Source organism: Homo sapiens, chromosome 3 (assembly GCF_000001405.40).
Source record: "Homo sapiens chromosome 3, GRCh38.p14 Primary Assembly".
Taxonomy (NCBI): Eukaryota; Metazoa; Chordata; class Mammalia; order Primates; family Hominidae; genus Homo; species Homo sapiens.
This window is the reverse complement of record NC_000003.12, coordinates 165703620-165720727: the sequence shown is the minus strand read 5'-3', so window position 1 is coordinate 165720727 and position 17108 is coordinate 165703620. Positions and strand designations below refer to the sequence as shown.

The 17108-nt window shown below is 38.9% G+C and overlaps 1 annotated feature.

Moving 5' to 3' along the window:
- Nucleotides 6892–7391: an enhancer, noted in NCBI's record as "H3K27ac hESC enhancer chr3:165431125-165431624 (GRCh37/hg19 assembly coordinates)". NCBI's record gives its function as "activates a minimal SCP1, AML or CMV promoter by ChIP-STARR-seq in primed H9 embryonic stem cells {active_cell/tissue: H9 hESC(primed)}" and the evidence as "EXISTENCE:reporter gene assay evidence [ECO:0000049][PMID:30033119]".

The following is a 17108-nucleotide window of genomic DNA, read 5'->3' as shown; positions in this document are numbered from 1 at the left end:
ACCCTGGAATCAGCTACACTCACAGAGACGTTAGGACTACCAGCTGTGGGAAGGAGCTATCAACTGCAGCAGGTCTTCTCTCTGCTGAGAACTGGACACTCGTTAGGATGACCTGCCTAAGGAAAGGAGCTACTCACTACAAGTCTCCTCTCTGCTGAGAACTGGACACTTATCTGGACGACCTGCCTATGGAAAGGAGTCAGCTACTTCAGGTATCCTAAGAGCTGTTCTGTTGCTCAATGAAGCTCCTCTACTGCCTTGCTTCCCCTCCAGTTGTTCACAGACCTCATTCTTCCTGGACACGGGACAAGAATTTGGGACTTGCTGAATAGCAGGACTGAAAGAGTTGTAACACAAACGGGGCTGAAACATGCCCCACCTCACCATGTTACAGGTGTCAAGAAGGAGAGAAGAACTGCAGCTTTTGGGGATCCTAGACCTAGGGTCTTCCCTAGCCAGGGCTGCAACACCCTCTTTGAGGCTCTGTGGTTCCTGGCATTTCCAAGCTTCTGGGTACCACTGTGTTTCCCGGTGCTAGAAGTGGAAGCCAATTGTGGTACTCGTGGTCCAGCCACAGCCTTGCATGGAGCAGGGGCCTGGAGCTGCCTGCCCTGCTACAGCCAGCATGCCTGGCTGTGTGCAGTGACCAGACCCCACCCTTGCTCACACATCCCTAACTGCTTCACTCCTGGCTCACCCTTGGCAGGCAAGGGATCCGGTCCGGTAGCGTAAACTGAGTGCAGCCTACTGGGCCAAGTGGGTGGAACAAGCCCAGAGGGCCTGAGCAACACTCAAGCAGAAGGCACCACTGGCTACCAAGGTTTCTTGTTGGCAAAGTGACACCCCAAGGATCCCCTGACATTTTTGGAGGTGCTTTTCTGGGATCTTCAGGAGAGTGAGTAAAAGAGGACTTGCTGCTTTCCATCCTTTTTTTTTTTTTTTGGAGTCAATAAACTACACACTAGCCAGAATGAAAGAAAAACATGGGCCTCTGTTCAGCCAACTAAAAGCAACAAGTGTGGTTGCTGGACTTAAGACACAGAGGACAGGCTTGCTGGGGGTACACTGTCAATCACTTGTCACTCTTGGGTCTTGGGAATGTTGGCCTTTTGCCAATCCGGTTTCCCTTCACAAAAATTTAGCTGTCACTTGAGACTGGAAGGAGGTCCTGGGGCAACTGCAGATATCTGACTGAGGCTACACCTTAGTGTTATCCAAAGGCCCCTGGACTAACTCCCATCCCCAACTGCCCATTAGGGTGTCAGCACTAGGGCCCTCAGTCTTTCCTATCACACTTTTTGTCTCATTCTCTCTTTCTTTCTCTCTCTCTTTCTTTCTCTCCCTTCCTTCCTTCCTTCCTGCCTGCCTTTCTTTCTTTCCTTTCCTTTCCTTTCTTTCTTCTCTGACTATAATGGCTACTATTCTCTTTTTTATATACAATGTTAAGGGTACCTCAGAGAAAATATTACTGGCTAGAATAAGCACTTGGAAGCCCGCCATGGTGGCTCACACCTGTAATCTCAGAACTTTGGGAGGCCGAGGTGGGCAGATCACCTGAGGTTAGGAGTTCGAGACCAGTCTGGCCAACATGGTGAAACCCCATGTCTACTAAAAATACAAAAAATGAGCAGGGAATGGTGGCAGGCACCTGCAGTCCCAGCTATTTGGGAGGCTGATGCACAAGAATCGCTTGAACCTGGGAGGTGGAGGTTGCAGTGAGCCAAGATAGCACAACTGCACTCCAGCCTGGGCAATAGAGTGAGACTCCATCTCAAAAAAAAAAAAAAAAAAAAGAAAACAAAAAAGACAGAAAGAAAAAAGAAAAAATAATAAGCGCTTGGCTTAGTGATCAGGAATGTAAATCAGAAGAATGTAATGTGGTATCTGTCTATTGTTAGAAGCAAGGAGAATGTAACAACTGAGACTTTTCTTTCCCCTGTTGAAGGAAGCCATTTCCATAGGGAAAGAGGCTTTCCCCTGGGCACCTTCCCCTTCCCTGCACTTCAGTTTTTTCTTTTTTATTTTTTTTTTCTTTTTCCTCCACCATGTAAGCAGTCAACATAGTGCATTGGGGGAGCTTTTCTACGCAAGAGATTTTTTTTTTTTTCCTTTTGAGAGACATCTTATTAGGCCCAGTCCTAAATTCCCAGGACTCCCTTTCTTTCCTTGGTTTGAAGGGGACCTCGTTTCACAGTTTTACTTTAGCATTCTGCTTATGATAGGGAAGAAATGAAAGAGTGGCCTCGGCTGCCCCACCAATTACTGGCTGCAATTTGGTAAGGGCTACCTGGGACTTAATTTAATGAGTCCGTACAAAGGGAAAGCTAAACCTGAGGTATCCAGAGGCAGATGAAAGTGCAAGTCAGGAGGCACAGTGCAGGTGAGCATGACTAATTCCTACCATTAGGGCCTTCCACTTCTGGATGGAGGTCATGTTGCATCCATGGCATAGATAAGGTCTAGGGAACTCAAAGGTGACTGACAATGGGAGAATAGGGCAGCATAAAGGTAAGTGCAAATATTCTTATCCACTAGGCCTCCCTGCTACATGGGTGAAAGTGGCATGTGCAAAGGTTGCCGGGACTTAGGGATATAATGTCAAAATAAAGAAGGTGATGTCTTTTTTTTCTCTCCCTCATGTACCCTGTGTATTGGCTTGAAAGAGAAAGGAACAAATGGAAACCATTTCCCCCCTCTTTCCAGATGGGTAATCAACCATTTCAGCCTGCACTCTTTTCGAGTGCTTCCTGAATCCCTGGGACCCCCTTGACCCTCAGACTCTGGAGAGAGGAAAGAATGCCTTTTCCCCCTCTGTCCTCTCTTCCAGAAGGGGAACCAATCATCTTTAGCCTGCACTCTTCTCAAGTGCATCCCGAATCTCTGGAACTCCTTTGACCCTCAGACTCTGGAAAAAGAAAAAAAAAAAGGTTTTTTCTTCCTTTTTTCCTCTTCTGTCTTCTCTTTGAGGATGGGTAATTGCATCTCTACACCACAGGACACTCCCCTCAGATGCATTCCCCAAACTGAGAAGATATTACAAATCTAACTGAGCAATCTCTTGAAGAGGGACAACTTTTACAGTAAGGCTTATCAGTTTTACCTGTGAGGTTAATTTTGTTAAGGCTCAAAAGCCAGCCATATTGGCCATTTGGCATGGCTAAGGCTGGTTAATAAGACATTTAAGAGGACTTTTTAAAAAAGGATTTCTGGCCGGGTGCGGTGGCTCACGCCTATAATTCCAGCACTTTGGGAGGACAAGGTGGGTGGATCACGACGTCAGTTCAAGAGCAGCCTGGCCAAGATGGTGAAACCCCATCTTTACTAAAAATACAAAAATTAGTTGAGCATGGTGGTGGGTGCTTGTAATCTTAGCTACTCAGGAGGCTGAGGCAGAGAACTGCTTAAACTTGGAAGGCGGAGGTTGTAATGAGCTGAGATCATGCCACTGCACTACAGCCTGGGCAACAGAAAAGGACTCCATCTCAAATAAATAAATAAAAAGGATTTATATGGTTAAAAGTCAGCTTAACTAAAAGTGGATATCCAAGCTACAGGCATATCAGGCATATATAAAAGACCTTTATGTCTTTTCTCTCAATGGATCTAGTTTTTCTGGAAAAAGGATTTTTTTTTCCTTTTTAGCCAACTTAATTATTTTTCTCCATTTCATCTTGCCACTCCTAATGCACACATAAGAGGCCCTAAGACAACTTTTGATGGTTTGGAACTCCTTGGGAAGAACAGAAGAGATGCCACTGACCCCATTTTTGTAAAAAAAGAAAAACAAAAACAAAAACAAACAAACAAACAAAAACCTGTTTTTCTCATGGAACCCCAGGAATTAGAGGCAGATAGATCTCAAAATCTGTTTTTGTCTTCCAACTATGCCTGCTTATTAGGCCCTAGATACTGCATGGTTTCATAGCCCTGTTTCTTAAAGGGCTCCACCCTGAGGCCAGTAAATAAAATTAGATGGGCAAATGAAAATCTAACAACTACTGGATCTTCTTTCTCTGTAGTTATGTATGTGTTCTATGTGTGGTGCTTATATAAAAAAAAAGAGCTTTAATTGACTGGTTTAAGGAAAAAATAAGCATTTGCATAAAATATTTTTAAAGAAAAATAAAGCTGTAATGCCTTTTTGTTCACATGACTTTAATCTTTGAGAAATAAAAACAGCTTTAAAGATTATTGGTAAAATAAAAATGTCTTCAAAGTGTAGACATATGGGCTAGTTGCAGTGGCTCACTCCTGTAATGCCAGCACTTTGGGAGGCCGAGGCGGGCAGATCACGAGGTCAGGAGACTGAGACCATCCTGGCTAACACGGTGAAACCCCGTCTCTACTAATATGCAAAAAAAAAAAAAAAAAAAAAAAAAAAAGTAGCCGGGCGTGGTTGTGGGTGCCTGTAGTCCCAGCTACTTAGGAGGCTGAAGCAGGAGAATGGTGTGAACCTGGGAGGTGGAGCTTGCAGTGAGCCAAGATCATGCCACTGCACTCCAGCCTGGGCAACAGAGTGAGACTCTGCCTCAAAAAAAAAAAAAAAAAAAAAGTAGACATATGGTCTACATTATGCAGGTCAGATACTAGGGTTGCTAAAGGCTTTAAGGTCATGAAATGCTTCTTCGGCTTTTGAAAATTGTTTGACTTGCCTTCTTTTCAGCTTGGTAAGGCCTGGGGACATATGAAGTTAACCACACCCCGACTATGTTGGAAAGAGTTAGGCCTTATCTGCACCTAGTACATAATTAAAATAACTTATCATGTTTTACACCAAAATTTAAAAAATTGCTAAGAGTTACCATTTAACATGTATTGAGACTACTGAAAATAGATTTACATGCAAGGTGTTTAAGGTAAGTAAAATGTGTTTTTAATAAAAGATTATAGGAAGACATGTAAATTTTTTCTTACTGTAGAGGGTTAAATAATTATTTTTAATTAAGATAAAGCTAAAGGTTTAAATGAGTTGGGAAGGTTTGTAAAACTTAATATTGTAAAATAAAATCTGTGTGTGAACATACTGACTAAATTCAAAAGGGTATTATTCGATTTTTCCATAAATTGAGCATTGGAATAAAAGCACAAGTGTTTCTTAAGGCACTGATATACTCTTTAACAAAAATTAGTTAAGAGTTATAAAAGGTTTGTAAGAATCTCACCTCATGGTCAAACTGATTAAAATTGGATAGATTTTTCTATAAGTTTTCATTAAAAAATTGGGATTGACATTAAAAGACAAATAAAGGGTGAAATTTGTCTATCTCTCTTGAACAAGATTTTCATGTAATGTTAAGGATATTGAAAAATTTTAGTTTGTTTTGTGAATAAACTACTGAAAAAAGAAGGAAAAGACAAGAGACAGATCGTTTGGAAAGCTGAGTCTGCCCTAGTAATGAGTAAAGGTTTTTGCTTTTCCAAAAAAATGTTGAAGCGGCTGGGCACGGTGGCTCACGCCTGTAATCCCAGCTTTGGGAGGCCTAGGTGGGCGGATCACAAGGTCAGAAGATCAAGACCATCCTGGCTAACACGGTGAAACCCTGTCTCTACTAAAAAATACAAAAAATTAACCGGGCGTAGTGGCAGGTGCCTGTAGTCCCAGCTACTTGGGAAGCTGAAGCACGAGAATGGCGTGAACCTGGGAGGCGGAGCTTGCAGTGAGACGGATCGCGCAACTGCATTCCAGCCTGGGCCACAGAGCAAGACTCCGTCTCAAAAAAAAAAAAAAAAAAAAAAAATGTTGAATCATCATTTTGGCTAAATAAATTACTTATGGTAATCTGGAATTCTTTTTATAATATCAAGTGTTTTAAACCTTTAATGTATTTGATAGGCTTCCCCAAATCAAATTTCAGCTTCATAATTATCTTTTCTGACCCCTAATTTTGGGATGCTACAGAGGGCCCCTGGAGCATTCAAACAAGAGGTAAATAGGATTATTTGACATGTTTAGTTACATGGGATTTTCCAAATAAAAATAAGGTTTAATCTTGTTTAAGTTATATTTTAGTAAACGATAATGTATGTTCCAAAATTGTATGGGATTTCTAAAATTCAAATGTCTGAGTATATGCTAGCAATCATAAATAGCATTATTATGTTAAGTTACCGTAAGCCACAGAAATAACCAAATTTCCTTGTCAATTGTGTTTTTGACTGTGAACTAACCTAAGACATTTTGTCATCCACAGGCAATTGTTGTCTTGTATTTATTCTCTTCAAAGGATAGTTTATAATCAGTTATAGGACTTGGATAGGTTCTCATTGGTTGTTTTGAAGTTTTTCTCTGCATTTTAGATTAACCCTGCTTATTCCTGTGAACTAGCCAACTATCTCTGACTGCAGCTCAGACCAAAAAAAAGGGATAGGTAAAGTAAAAATCTGGATGAACATTCTAATTCTGGGCAATTATCCTGTAAATCCTGCCAAGAGATGGGGGGTAAATGGGGTGCCGATAACCCAAAGGTTTCTTTTTCGGGAAAGTAAACTCAAGGGATTATCTACCCCCCTAAACAGTTATTTCTCTTTTAAACTTTAACTGCCCCCATACAAGATTTAATTTCTTTTACCAGGGTGAAACAGCTCTAGCCACAATATTGTTTTCTGAATGATTAGTCTATTTTACTTCTTATTTCTGTTATCTTTGGCACTAGATTTTTTCCTTCGCATAATTAACCTCCTTGTAAAATTTGTTTCTTCTTGCCTAGAGGCCATCAGACACCAAGTGGTCATGCAACTGGAGCCTCAGATGATGGCTCCCTTTTACCAAGGACCCTTGGATAGGCCTCTGAGAAAGATCTGACTGCGTTTTCCCCAAAACAGTGCCTCCTAGCAGCATGAAGCCGTTAAGCGTGGTCATCATCCCTATCCTAATGGCAGTTTCCTGTACCTCTTCAGAGGGAGGATTGATGGCAGCGCAGCCCACCTGCAGTGGCTGCTGCGAAGACACCATCTGCATTGGGGAAGCAATTGCTGGGGTTGCACACTCCATGGAGCCGGCAAGAGCTGGGAACAGGAGGGGGCCCTGTCCCCTTCTGAGCTGGCAGGGCTGGAGACCCCAGACCCCCACCCAGGTGTGGCTGCAGCCACCCAGCTGTGGCTGTGGATCCATGCATCCCTGCACTCTCAGAGGCCTGGGAATCCAGCTGCCCCCGCAGGCTCAGAAGTTCCTACTCCCACTGCCTGGCCTCTCCTCACTTTCGGTGCCCGATCCAATTTCAGACCAAAGTTGAGGCCCCTCCTGGATGATGTCACAACCCGGACAGGTGTGCATGCACTTGAGGCAGTGCTGGCACACCAGCCCCCTGCTGCCTCAGCCCCATCCGGACTTTCGGTGTGGAGCACAGGAGAGAGGCTGAGTAGGAGCTGAGGCTGACTCAGCACAGGCCTGTAGGCACCTCCTCAACAGCATGGACAACATGATTGATGGCAGCTGGAGGCAGACAGGTTCCTTTGTGAAAAAGAGTGGATCTCCTGTTAAGCCTAACCTTCAAGCCAGGTAAAGAATAGGGCCTGGGCTGTCAGTTCCCTGTGGAGTCAGCAGCCTGGAGTGATAATTTATGGTGACTTATATGGGCCCACCCATGGCTGTCGATGGACCAATCAGCATGCACTTCCTTCCTTCTGAAGCCCATAAAAACCCTGGATTCAACCAGACTCACAGAGATGTCAAGACTACCAGCTTTAGGAAGGAGCTGCCCAGTGTGGTTCTCCTCTCCACTGATAGTTGAACACTCGTCGGGATGACCTGCTTGTGGAAAGGAGCTACCCACTTCACATCTCCTGAGTGCTATTCTGTTGCTCAATGAAGCTCCTCTTTGCTTTGCTCACCCTCCAGTTGTCCATGTACCTCATTCTTCCTGGATGCAGGAAAAGAACTTGGGACCTGCCAAAGAGCAGGGCTGAAAGAGAAAGAGCTGTAACACAAACAGGGCTGAAACACACCTCCTGCTCACCACATTGCAGGTACAAGAAGGAAGAAGCTAGTTGCAGCCCTCTGGGGAGTCCAGACTTAGGGTTCCTTGAGCCAGGGCTGCAACACCATCCTTGGGGCTCTGCAGTTCCTGATATCGCTAAGTTTTGAGGCACCGCCGCATTCTCTGGTGCCCACAGTAGAAGCTGCTTATGGTATGCCTGGTCCAGCTGTAGCGTCTGATGGAACCAGCACCTGTTCCGGCTCTGGGAGCTGCCCACCCTGCTGCAGCTGGCACTCCTGACTGTACACAGTGGCGGGACCCCCGTGCTTGCTCTGTGCCAGGCTTGTCCTTGGCAGGCATGAAATCCAGGCCGATAGTGTGAACTGAGTGCAGCCTGCTGGGCTGAGTGGTAGGATCCAGCCCAGTGGTCCAAGCAGTACTCAGGCAGAAGGCACCAACACCACAGAGGTTTTGGCTGGCAAGGCAACATCCTAAGGATCCTGTGTCATAGGTACATGAAAAAGGTGGGCAGGAAATTTTCATAATATCTTTGACTTCAAAGGTATAACCTCTGTATATCTTTCAAATTACAAATGGGAACCATTCAAAAGTGTTTTACTAAGGGAAATAATTTGATTTTAATCAGTAAATTTGATTAAGAAAAAAGGTTGAATACAAGGAAGACTGAGTGCTATGCCTTCATTTATAACACATTGTTGAGTAAAAGTAGAATCAGGATGAGGAAAGTCATCCTACCACTGTCCAGAGACACAGGAGGTAGGAATAAATTAAAATGAGGCAGTGGGGGCAGGGAGGTTGGGTTATTCAAGCTTGTAGTAAATATTTACTGAGAGTTGACTCTTAACAGGTCATCTCAGATGAGGCCATGTGTTATTTGGAAGTAAGAAGGGCCTTAACTAAGAAACTGAAGAACTAAAATTTAAGAAAAATAAATAGTGATAGTGCTTGAGTCCTTGACAATAAAAGTGGACCAAATATGCAAGAAAAAGTTCAAATGCATGAGAGAAAAGCAAAACATGCTCAAATTAACTTCTCCCCAATTAAACATAAACTAATAGATAATATCAGATATGACATTTAAAACATTTTAAAAAGCAAAACAACATAGACATTGAACTAAAATAATAGATACAGGCCAGTCTATCCATCAGGAGAATATCCACTCTTTATCAGTTCTGGATACAAGATTCTTCTCAATAGATGCCAATTTATATTTAATTATTCAGAAATGCTTGGAATAACTTCAGAGACTATTCTTTGAAAAATAAAATTATTAACATTCAGTGTCTTCTTGATCTAGCCCATGATTCTATTTTTTTCTTCAGCTAGTTGTTTAGTCACCTATTTAGATTTTGAATTTTCAGCAGTTTTTAATAATGCTGACTTTTCATAGCTTTTGCTGCAATTTAAATTACAATTTCCACCAATATTTCTTTTCAGCATTATAATGTGCTTAGTGATATTAAGAAGTATAATTGCTCTTTGGCTGAAAATGCATGGTCCAATAAACATGAAGATGATTTTCTTCTGCCTTCTCAAAAAATAGCTTCTGAACTGGAGCTAACAAATATACCATAGATTTTTAAGAAATACGTTTATATATAACAAAATTATAAGTGTGTATGTGTGTGTATGCATTGATGTCTTTCCAATATGACATATGGTATGTCTTATTTTTTTTTTATTTGCAGACCCAGATTGAGGAATTACATAGATATCTCCATCTCTTTTTTTGCCTTCCCTTCAAAAGAACAAAGCCTTCTGAAATGACTTACTCATGCCACAGATATAATTTTTTTGGAAAAAAATTAAGCTTTTGGATGAAATAGTTGGGTAAAATTATCAAAATGTGAACTCAACTAAATAAAAATTTTAAATTTCTGCTACCTACCGACTCCCCAGATATGTACTATAAAGATATACCTATCCTTCAGGCTTCCAGTCATTCAATAGATATTTCTTGAGCATTTACCGTAAGCCATGTGTTGCTTCAAACATTAGTGACAAACAAAACAGACAAGGTTTCTACCCTGATGTTTACCCATATTGTAGTAAAAGGAAGGCAGTAAACAAACCAATGTATATTTGACTTATGAGAAAATGATAATTATTATGGGTATAAAAGAAAGCTGGATAAGAGCAATATGCTAGCCTGTCTCTAGAATGGCATTGGATGATCTTTGTTTTCTGTTATTCACACTTGTATATGCCATCCCTGACAATACTAGTTTAATACATTCTGTAACAATATTTGAATACAATTTATAGTAAATTGTTACCAATAGAATGCAATAAAAAACAATGGTATATCACTTCTAAGATTAAGTTATAAAAATACTCCAGCTTCTGTCTATGTATATCCTCTCTCTAGGATGACTTGCTCTAGTGAAAGCCAGCTGCCATTACAAATGTACGCTATGGAAGCCTGCAGAGAGGCTCATGTGACAAGAAACTTAAGTCTTCTGCCAACAGCCACTGAGAAACGTAATCCTGCCAATGATCACGTGAGTGAGCTTGGAAGCACATCTACTCCCATTTGGATTTTCAGATAAGACTGCAGTCCCAGTTCATGGTTTGTCTATAAATTCATGAGAGATGTTGTCCCCAACCACCCAGCTAGGTGACTCCTATATTCCTGACCCCAACCACCCAGCTAGGTGACTCCTATATTCCTGACCCCAACCATCCAGCTAGGTGACTCCTATATTCCTGACCCACAGAAACTATGAGCTAATAACTGTTATTCAAGATGCCAGATTTGGGGGTAATTTCTTATACAGTAACAGATAACTAATATGTAGAATACAAAGGGAAATCTTGGGACAGATAATTTTTGCTTGGTTTTATTTTTGTTCTTTGAGATAGCATATTGCACTCTTGCTCAGGCCAGAGTGCAGTGACAAAATCATAGCTCACTGCAACTCTGGACTCCTGGGCTCAAGTGATACTTCCACCTCAGCTTCCCAAGTAGCTGGGACCATTACCCAAAGAAGTTTTTATTTGGTCAATTTTCATGGAGTTTTTTGACTTTGAATCATAAGACTAATCAAAGTTTACCCCTCAAAAATAAGTTTAATATCATTTTATGTAATTTCTCATTAGTCAAATATATGTTTTCTCTTTAAATATTGTTTAATGATTTTTCTGATTAAGAAAGTAATGTATTTTTCTAATGTACAAAGAGTAAATATTACAGAATATTTTAAATTGTATCCACTGCTACAAACAGAGTTGATGACTATTTTAGCAGTTTTTTCCCTATGCTTCTTTTACCATGGTATGCATTAGTTTATGTTATCCCCTAAATAAAAATAAATCATGTTATATATGCATTTGTCAAACTTCCTGTTTTACATATACCTTAAACAGCTCATATAGGCATAACTCATTTTTTTCCAAGCACCCTACCATTCTTAGTTCTATGGATAAGAATTAACTCAAGTGGGTTAATTCATATTATTTGGGTTAATTATAATTATTTTCTATCACAGAAAACATTTTGTAAAATTTTGTGTGTCTTTAACAAAATATAAATCATATTATTTAGAAAATGCTGGACTTGTAAACTGTGTCTTAAAACCCCTGAAAGAATAAATTCAATTTACCAATTTTCTTCAAGATTTAATGGTTATTTATTAAACATTTAATTAGTCAAGTTAAAATGATTTGGTTGTTAAATACAATGCAATGTCTAAGTATTATATCCTCAACTCTGTATTTTTTCTTTAAAAAATAGTAATTGATTGGTTGAAAGTATAATTAAAATAGGAAACACTAAAGATAGAGTGGCTACTAAGTCAGCTGACATTATATTTTTAAATAGAAACATATTAAATGGACTGCACCAAACTAAAAATGGGGTTGTCAGATATCATATCATATGAACAGTGAAACTTCAAAGTAAAATGTAAACAAAGTCCATTTTACAGCTCTTTAAAAGAGGGAGAAGTATGCCCCTTCTTTAAGCTGTTCAGATCATGGACAAATTCCTCACAACCTGAGGGATTGTTGCAGAAGCCTATCTTAACCTATGCCATTAAATAATCAACTGATCTAACCAGAGCAGAGCCCTCTACAATTCACCAAATATTTGAATGCATTTTCACATCTCTTAGACTTCCTTTCATTAGGCAATTCCATATGACCAGTATTGAGCAAAAGAGTTCTGTGTCACTCTCAGACTGAATTTTTAAGAGCTTTCATATGACTCTCCACCTTTCCAAGATAGAAATTAACCTTTATTATGTTAAGCCACTGAAATTTTAGGGTTTAATGTGCTACTACAGTATAAACTGGCCTATCTGCTTAACGCATGAATTCACTTCTTATAATTTTATACTCACCAAACAAATAATATAGTTTTGCTCTTCACCTGTTATTAATGATTGAGAAATAATGTGTAATTAAGCCAACATGAACATTTCTACATCTGTGCAAGTACATGCTCTGTTGTCAATTAATATATTAGCAGTAGGATTTTATGCATCAGTCTTCTCACTTTGGCTAATTTTAGCCTGCCTAAAAGATAACCACTACTCCTACATATAAGGTTTATATAAAACTGTATATAAAAAGGTTTCAGAGCTTAAAATACTGAGGTACTGGCACTGAACTATAGTATTTCCTCCATGTATAGTACCCTATCCTTATGCACACAAACACCCACGTCCATCCTTGAAAAATCTTTTGATATATTTCACTCTGCCATTGCTGCATGTGGTTTTTATTTAACCACTTTTTACAACATACATTTAGAGAAACATTTATTAAAATCATAGAAGTGTGTTATAGATAAAAATAAATAATACATTTTATTTTTATCCAAGTAGCATTAAATATAATTCAACATATAAGAGGAGTTGAGACACTTGCCCTCAAGATGCTATAAAAGTGCCAACTTCAGAAAACACAGTTCATCTTTATGTTTAACCTTATCTCTTGGTACAATTTAAGTATATTTTTATATGTTCTGGTTTTGGTTCAAACAGGATTTTCAGTAACTCATTCCTCAGAATTCTCTTTCAGAAGCCAGCCATCATTTTTAGTCTTCTTTATATATCCTATTTTCCAGACAATTTTGCATTATCATCACTAACTGTTGTACTCTTTGAATTATTTCCAGATATTTTTTCTTTTTAAAAGTTTATAATATAAAATCTTCAAAATATTCTAAACTTGCTACAAATTTTTAAAATCTCCATGTCTACTGATAATACTTGCCAGTTAATGGCCCACCACCATTTTTCCAAGTAAGAATAAGGCCTGAGAGATAGCATCATTTGACAAATAAAATGCTCCGCTTTTAAAAAGTAGTGATGATAATATGATGCTGCAGCTAATATATATATATATATATATATATATATGGCTTACTGCATCCATGGGTTGTGCATCCACAGATTCAACCAAATGCAGAATGAAAATATTGGAGAAAAAAGATGTTCTGGACTTGTACAGACTGTTTCTTGTCATTCCTTAAACAGTACAGTGTAACAACTATTTTCAGAGCATTTACATTGTATTAGGTATTATAAGTATTCTGGAGATTATTTAAAATATACAGAAGGATGTGCATAGGTTATATGCAAATACTATGCCACTTTATACCAGAGACTTGAGCATCAGGGATTTTGTTATCCAGGGGCTTCCTGTTACTAATATCCCACAATAACCAGGGATGATGACATTTCTGTTTTTTTCACTGATGTCAGAATAAATCCAAAATGCAATAAAATCTAGTTGGTGATTTTAGCCAGTGATTAAATTTGCCGTATTTTTATAGAGATGCCAAGTAAATGGAGGACACATGATTTACAGCATTTGTTTCTATATAGCTTGAATGCTATTTTAAATTTAATCTGAAATATTTTTATTTTAAGTATAATGGTAAATTTAATTTATATTATTTGAAAAATACTATGCTTTGTTTAAATACGTTGGTTTGGTTTCTATTTTTTATGTTATATATTTCTTAGTTTGATTTTCTACAAATACTATAGCACAGATATTGTATTTTTAAATTTTCATACATTCTTAAGTTTATATGATTTTATTTATCAGATAATAATGGGCCCCTGGTTAAAGCATTCTACAACTAACTCCTTGGATTAATTAATAGATCAGACCTGAAATTAGATGACAGGTCTCTATGCTTATCTCTTAGTACATTGTTTAGGAGACAATAATCCTATTGTTATGTCCCTTATATTCTAAATTCCATTCCTAGACTCCAAAATAGTGTTTACCAAAGGTTTTTTTGGAGAACACTATTTCCTCAATGTATTTCATCAGAAACAGTCTCCAAAGTCAACTAAGTATAGGAAACAGGACATGCAGAACATTATTTTTAAGATATTTAAAATGTCCATTAATGTATTTAAGACTTTGAGGAATACTGGAGTAAATAAACCTGTTTAATTTTTTTCACAATTAATTTGACCACATAGTTGTTTATGTACATGTGTTTGTAATCATATGCACAATATCTATTAATATTCCAGGGAACTTTTGCAAATAATGTTCCAAAAGAGTTATTTGCAAAACGTTTTTCTAGATTAGTGATTCTCAGCCTCAATAATTTGGGGATGGACAGTCTTGTTGTGGAGTGGAGACCGTTGTCTTCTGCACTGTAGGATGTCTAGCAGCATCCTGATCTCTACCCAGGAGATTCCATAGCAGTCAAAAATGCCTGCCAACATTGCCAAATATATTTTGGAAAGCAAAATTGCCCCCAGTTAAGAAGTACTGCATAAGGCAGAAAATGCAAAGCTCTTTGCAGGCAATGCAGTGTTTCTCACCTCAGTTTGTAATATTACAATGAGCATTTTGGTAGAAGAGTTGAGAAGAAAAAAGGAAAGAAGATAGAGAATATTAAATGCTCATATCATTGACTGGCTGGTTTCTGAGGTTCCTGGTTCAGAGGAATGATGTGTGGGACTCTGCTCTTAATATCAATGCAGTTATCTGATATGAAACAATTTCCCTTTATACTTTAAAATGGTAAATAATTTTCAATTTCTTTTTTTAATATACTTTAAGTTCTAGGGAACATGTGCAGAACGTGCAGGTTTGTTACATATGTACACATGTGCCATGTTGGTGTGCTGCACCCATTAACTCATCATTTACATTAGGTATATCTCCTAATGCTATCCCTCCCCCCACCCCATGACAGGCCCCGGTGTGTGATGTTCCCCATCCTGTATGTAAGTGTTCTCATTGTTCAATTCCCACCTATGAGTGAGAACATGCGGTGTTTGGTTTTCTGTCCTTGTGATAGTTTGCTCAGAATGATGGTTTCCAGCTTCATCCATGTCCCTACAAAGGCCATGAACTCATCCTGTTTTATGGCTGCATAGTATTCCATGGTGTATACGTGCCACATTTTCTTAATCCAGTCTATTATTGATGGACATTTGGGTTGGTTCCAAGTTTTTGCTATTGTGAATAGTACCACAATAAACATACGTGTGCATGTGTCTTTATAGTAGCATGATTTATAATCCTTTGGGTATATACCCAGTAATGGGATGGCTGGGTCAAATGGTATTTCTAGGTGTAGATCCTTGAGGAATTGCCACACTGTCTTCCACAACAGTTTAACTAGTTTATAGTCCCATCAATAGTGTAAAAGTATTCCTATTTCTCCACATCATCTTCAGCACCTGTTGTTTCCTGACTTTTTAATGATTGCCATTCTAACTGGTGTGAGATGGTATCTCATTGTGGTTTTGATTTGCATTTCTCTGATGGCTAGTAAAAACCCTAGAAGAAAACCTAGGCAGTACCATCCAGGACATACGCATGGGCAAGGACTTCATGACTAAAACACCAAAAGCAATGGCAACAAAAGCCAAAAATGACAAATGGGATCTAATTAAACTAAAGAGCTTCTGCACAGCAAAAGAAACTACCATCAGAGTGAACCGGCAACCTACAGAATGGGAGAAAATAATTTTAAATTTCTTACGCTTTATATCTTTGGTCACCCCCTATCCTCCCATCACAAATATTTAAGTATTCCTTGGACCCCTTCTTAACTCACTTCCACAATCTACCTAGATAACTTTAACTATTGTCATGGATTCAAATAATATCACTATTTGATACATCTAAGTGTGTCACAGTTCCTGACTTTTATCCAGAAATTTTCATTTGAATTGAAAACTTCAAACTCACTGTCTTACTCCTTAAAACTTGTTCTTTGTCTTTAATCTATTGCAGCATCACCATTCCCCTGGTAACCTGTGAGAAATCTGTCATCTTGATTCTTCCTTCTTTCCAATAAACTTCTTCATAGAGCAGCCAAATTCTTCTATCTAGCCTTTTATGGTCCATTTAAAAACATCTTTCCCCCTCATTTTTTTACACTGATCTATTTCAGGCCTTTATCACTTTCACTAGTTCCCTATCTGGTTAGCCAGTCACAAGTCTCTTCTTGAATTATTTGTTCACAAGGCTCTCAAAGCTACCTCTCCAAAATGTATGTCTATTTATTTTTCATTAATTTCATGTATACAAAAATGTTTCTGGAACATTCACTATGTATCAGGAATTGTGCCAGACATTGGAGATGAAGTGATAAAGAGGATGGTGATGACTCCTTCCCCTATGGAATCTATATTGTAGTGAGGGAGATAGACAACAAATAAGCAAACACTAATAAATAAATAAATATGATAACTTCTTGGAAAAAAATAAACAAGAGGCTGAGATAGAATGTAACTAGGGAAGTGAAGAGAGGGGTATATTCTAGACAATGTTCTCTGGGAAGGCCTCTGAGGAGGGATATTTAATTTAAACCCTAAAGGAGAAAGAGAAGCTAGATCTATCAGTCAGAATTTGTTTGAAGAAATAGAATCACTAGGAGTGATATATAGGGATTTCTTATAGGAATTTGAGCTCACATGATGGTGGGGGATGATTAAATAGCCTATATAAGGCTTCCATGTTGGCATCTGGTGCTGGAGGTTGAAGTCAGCAGAACAGGAATTTGGGAAGGGTACATGGGTGTGAAGTGTGGAGAACAAGGAGAGCCTGAAACAGGCAAGAACGGACTAGAACTTGCACCAGTATCTCACCCCCTCCAGGCTATCAACCTCAATGATTCAAATGAACTTCAGGATAAATTAGGACCTTTGTCATGGAGATCCACATGTACATAGTTCAGGA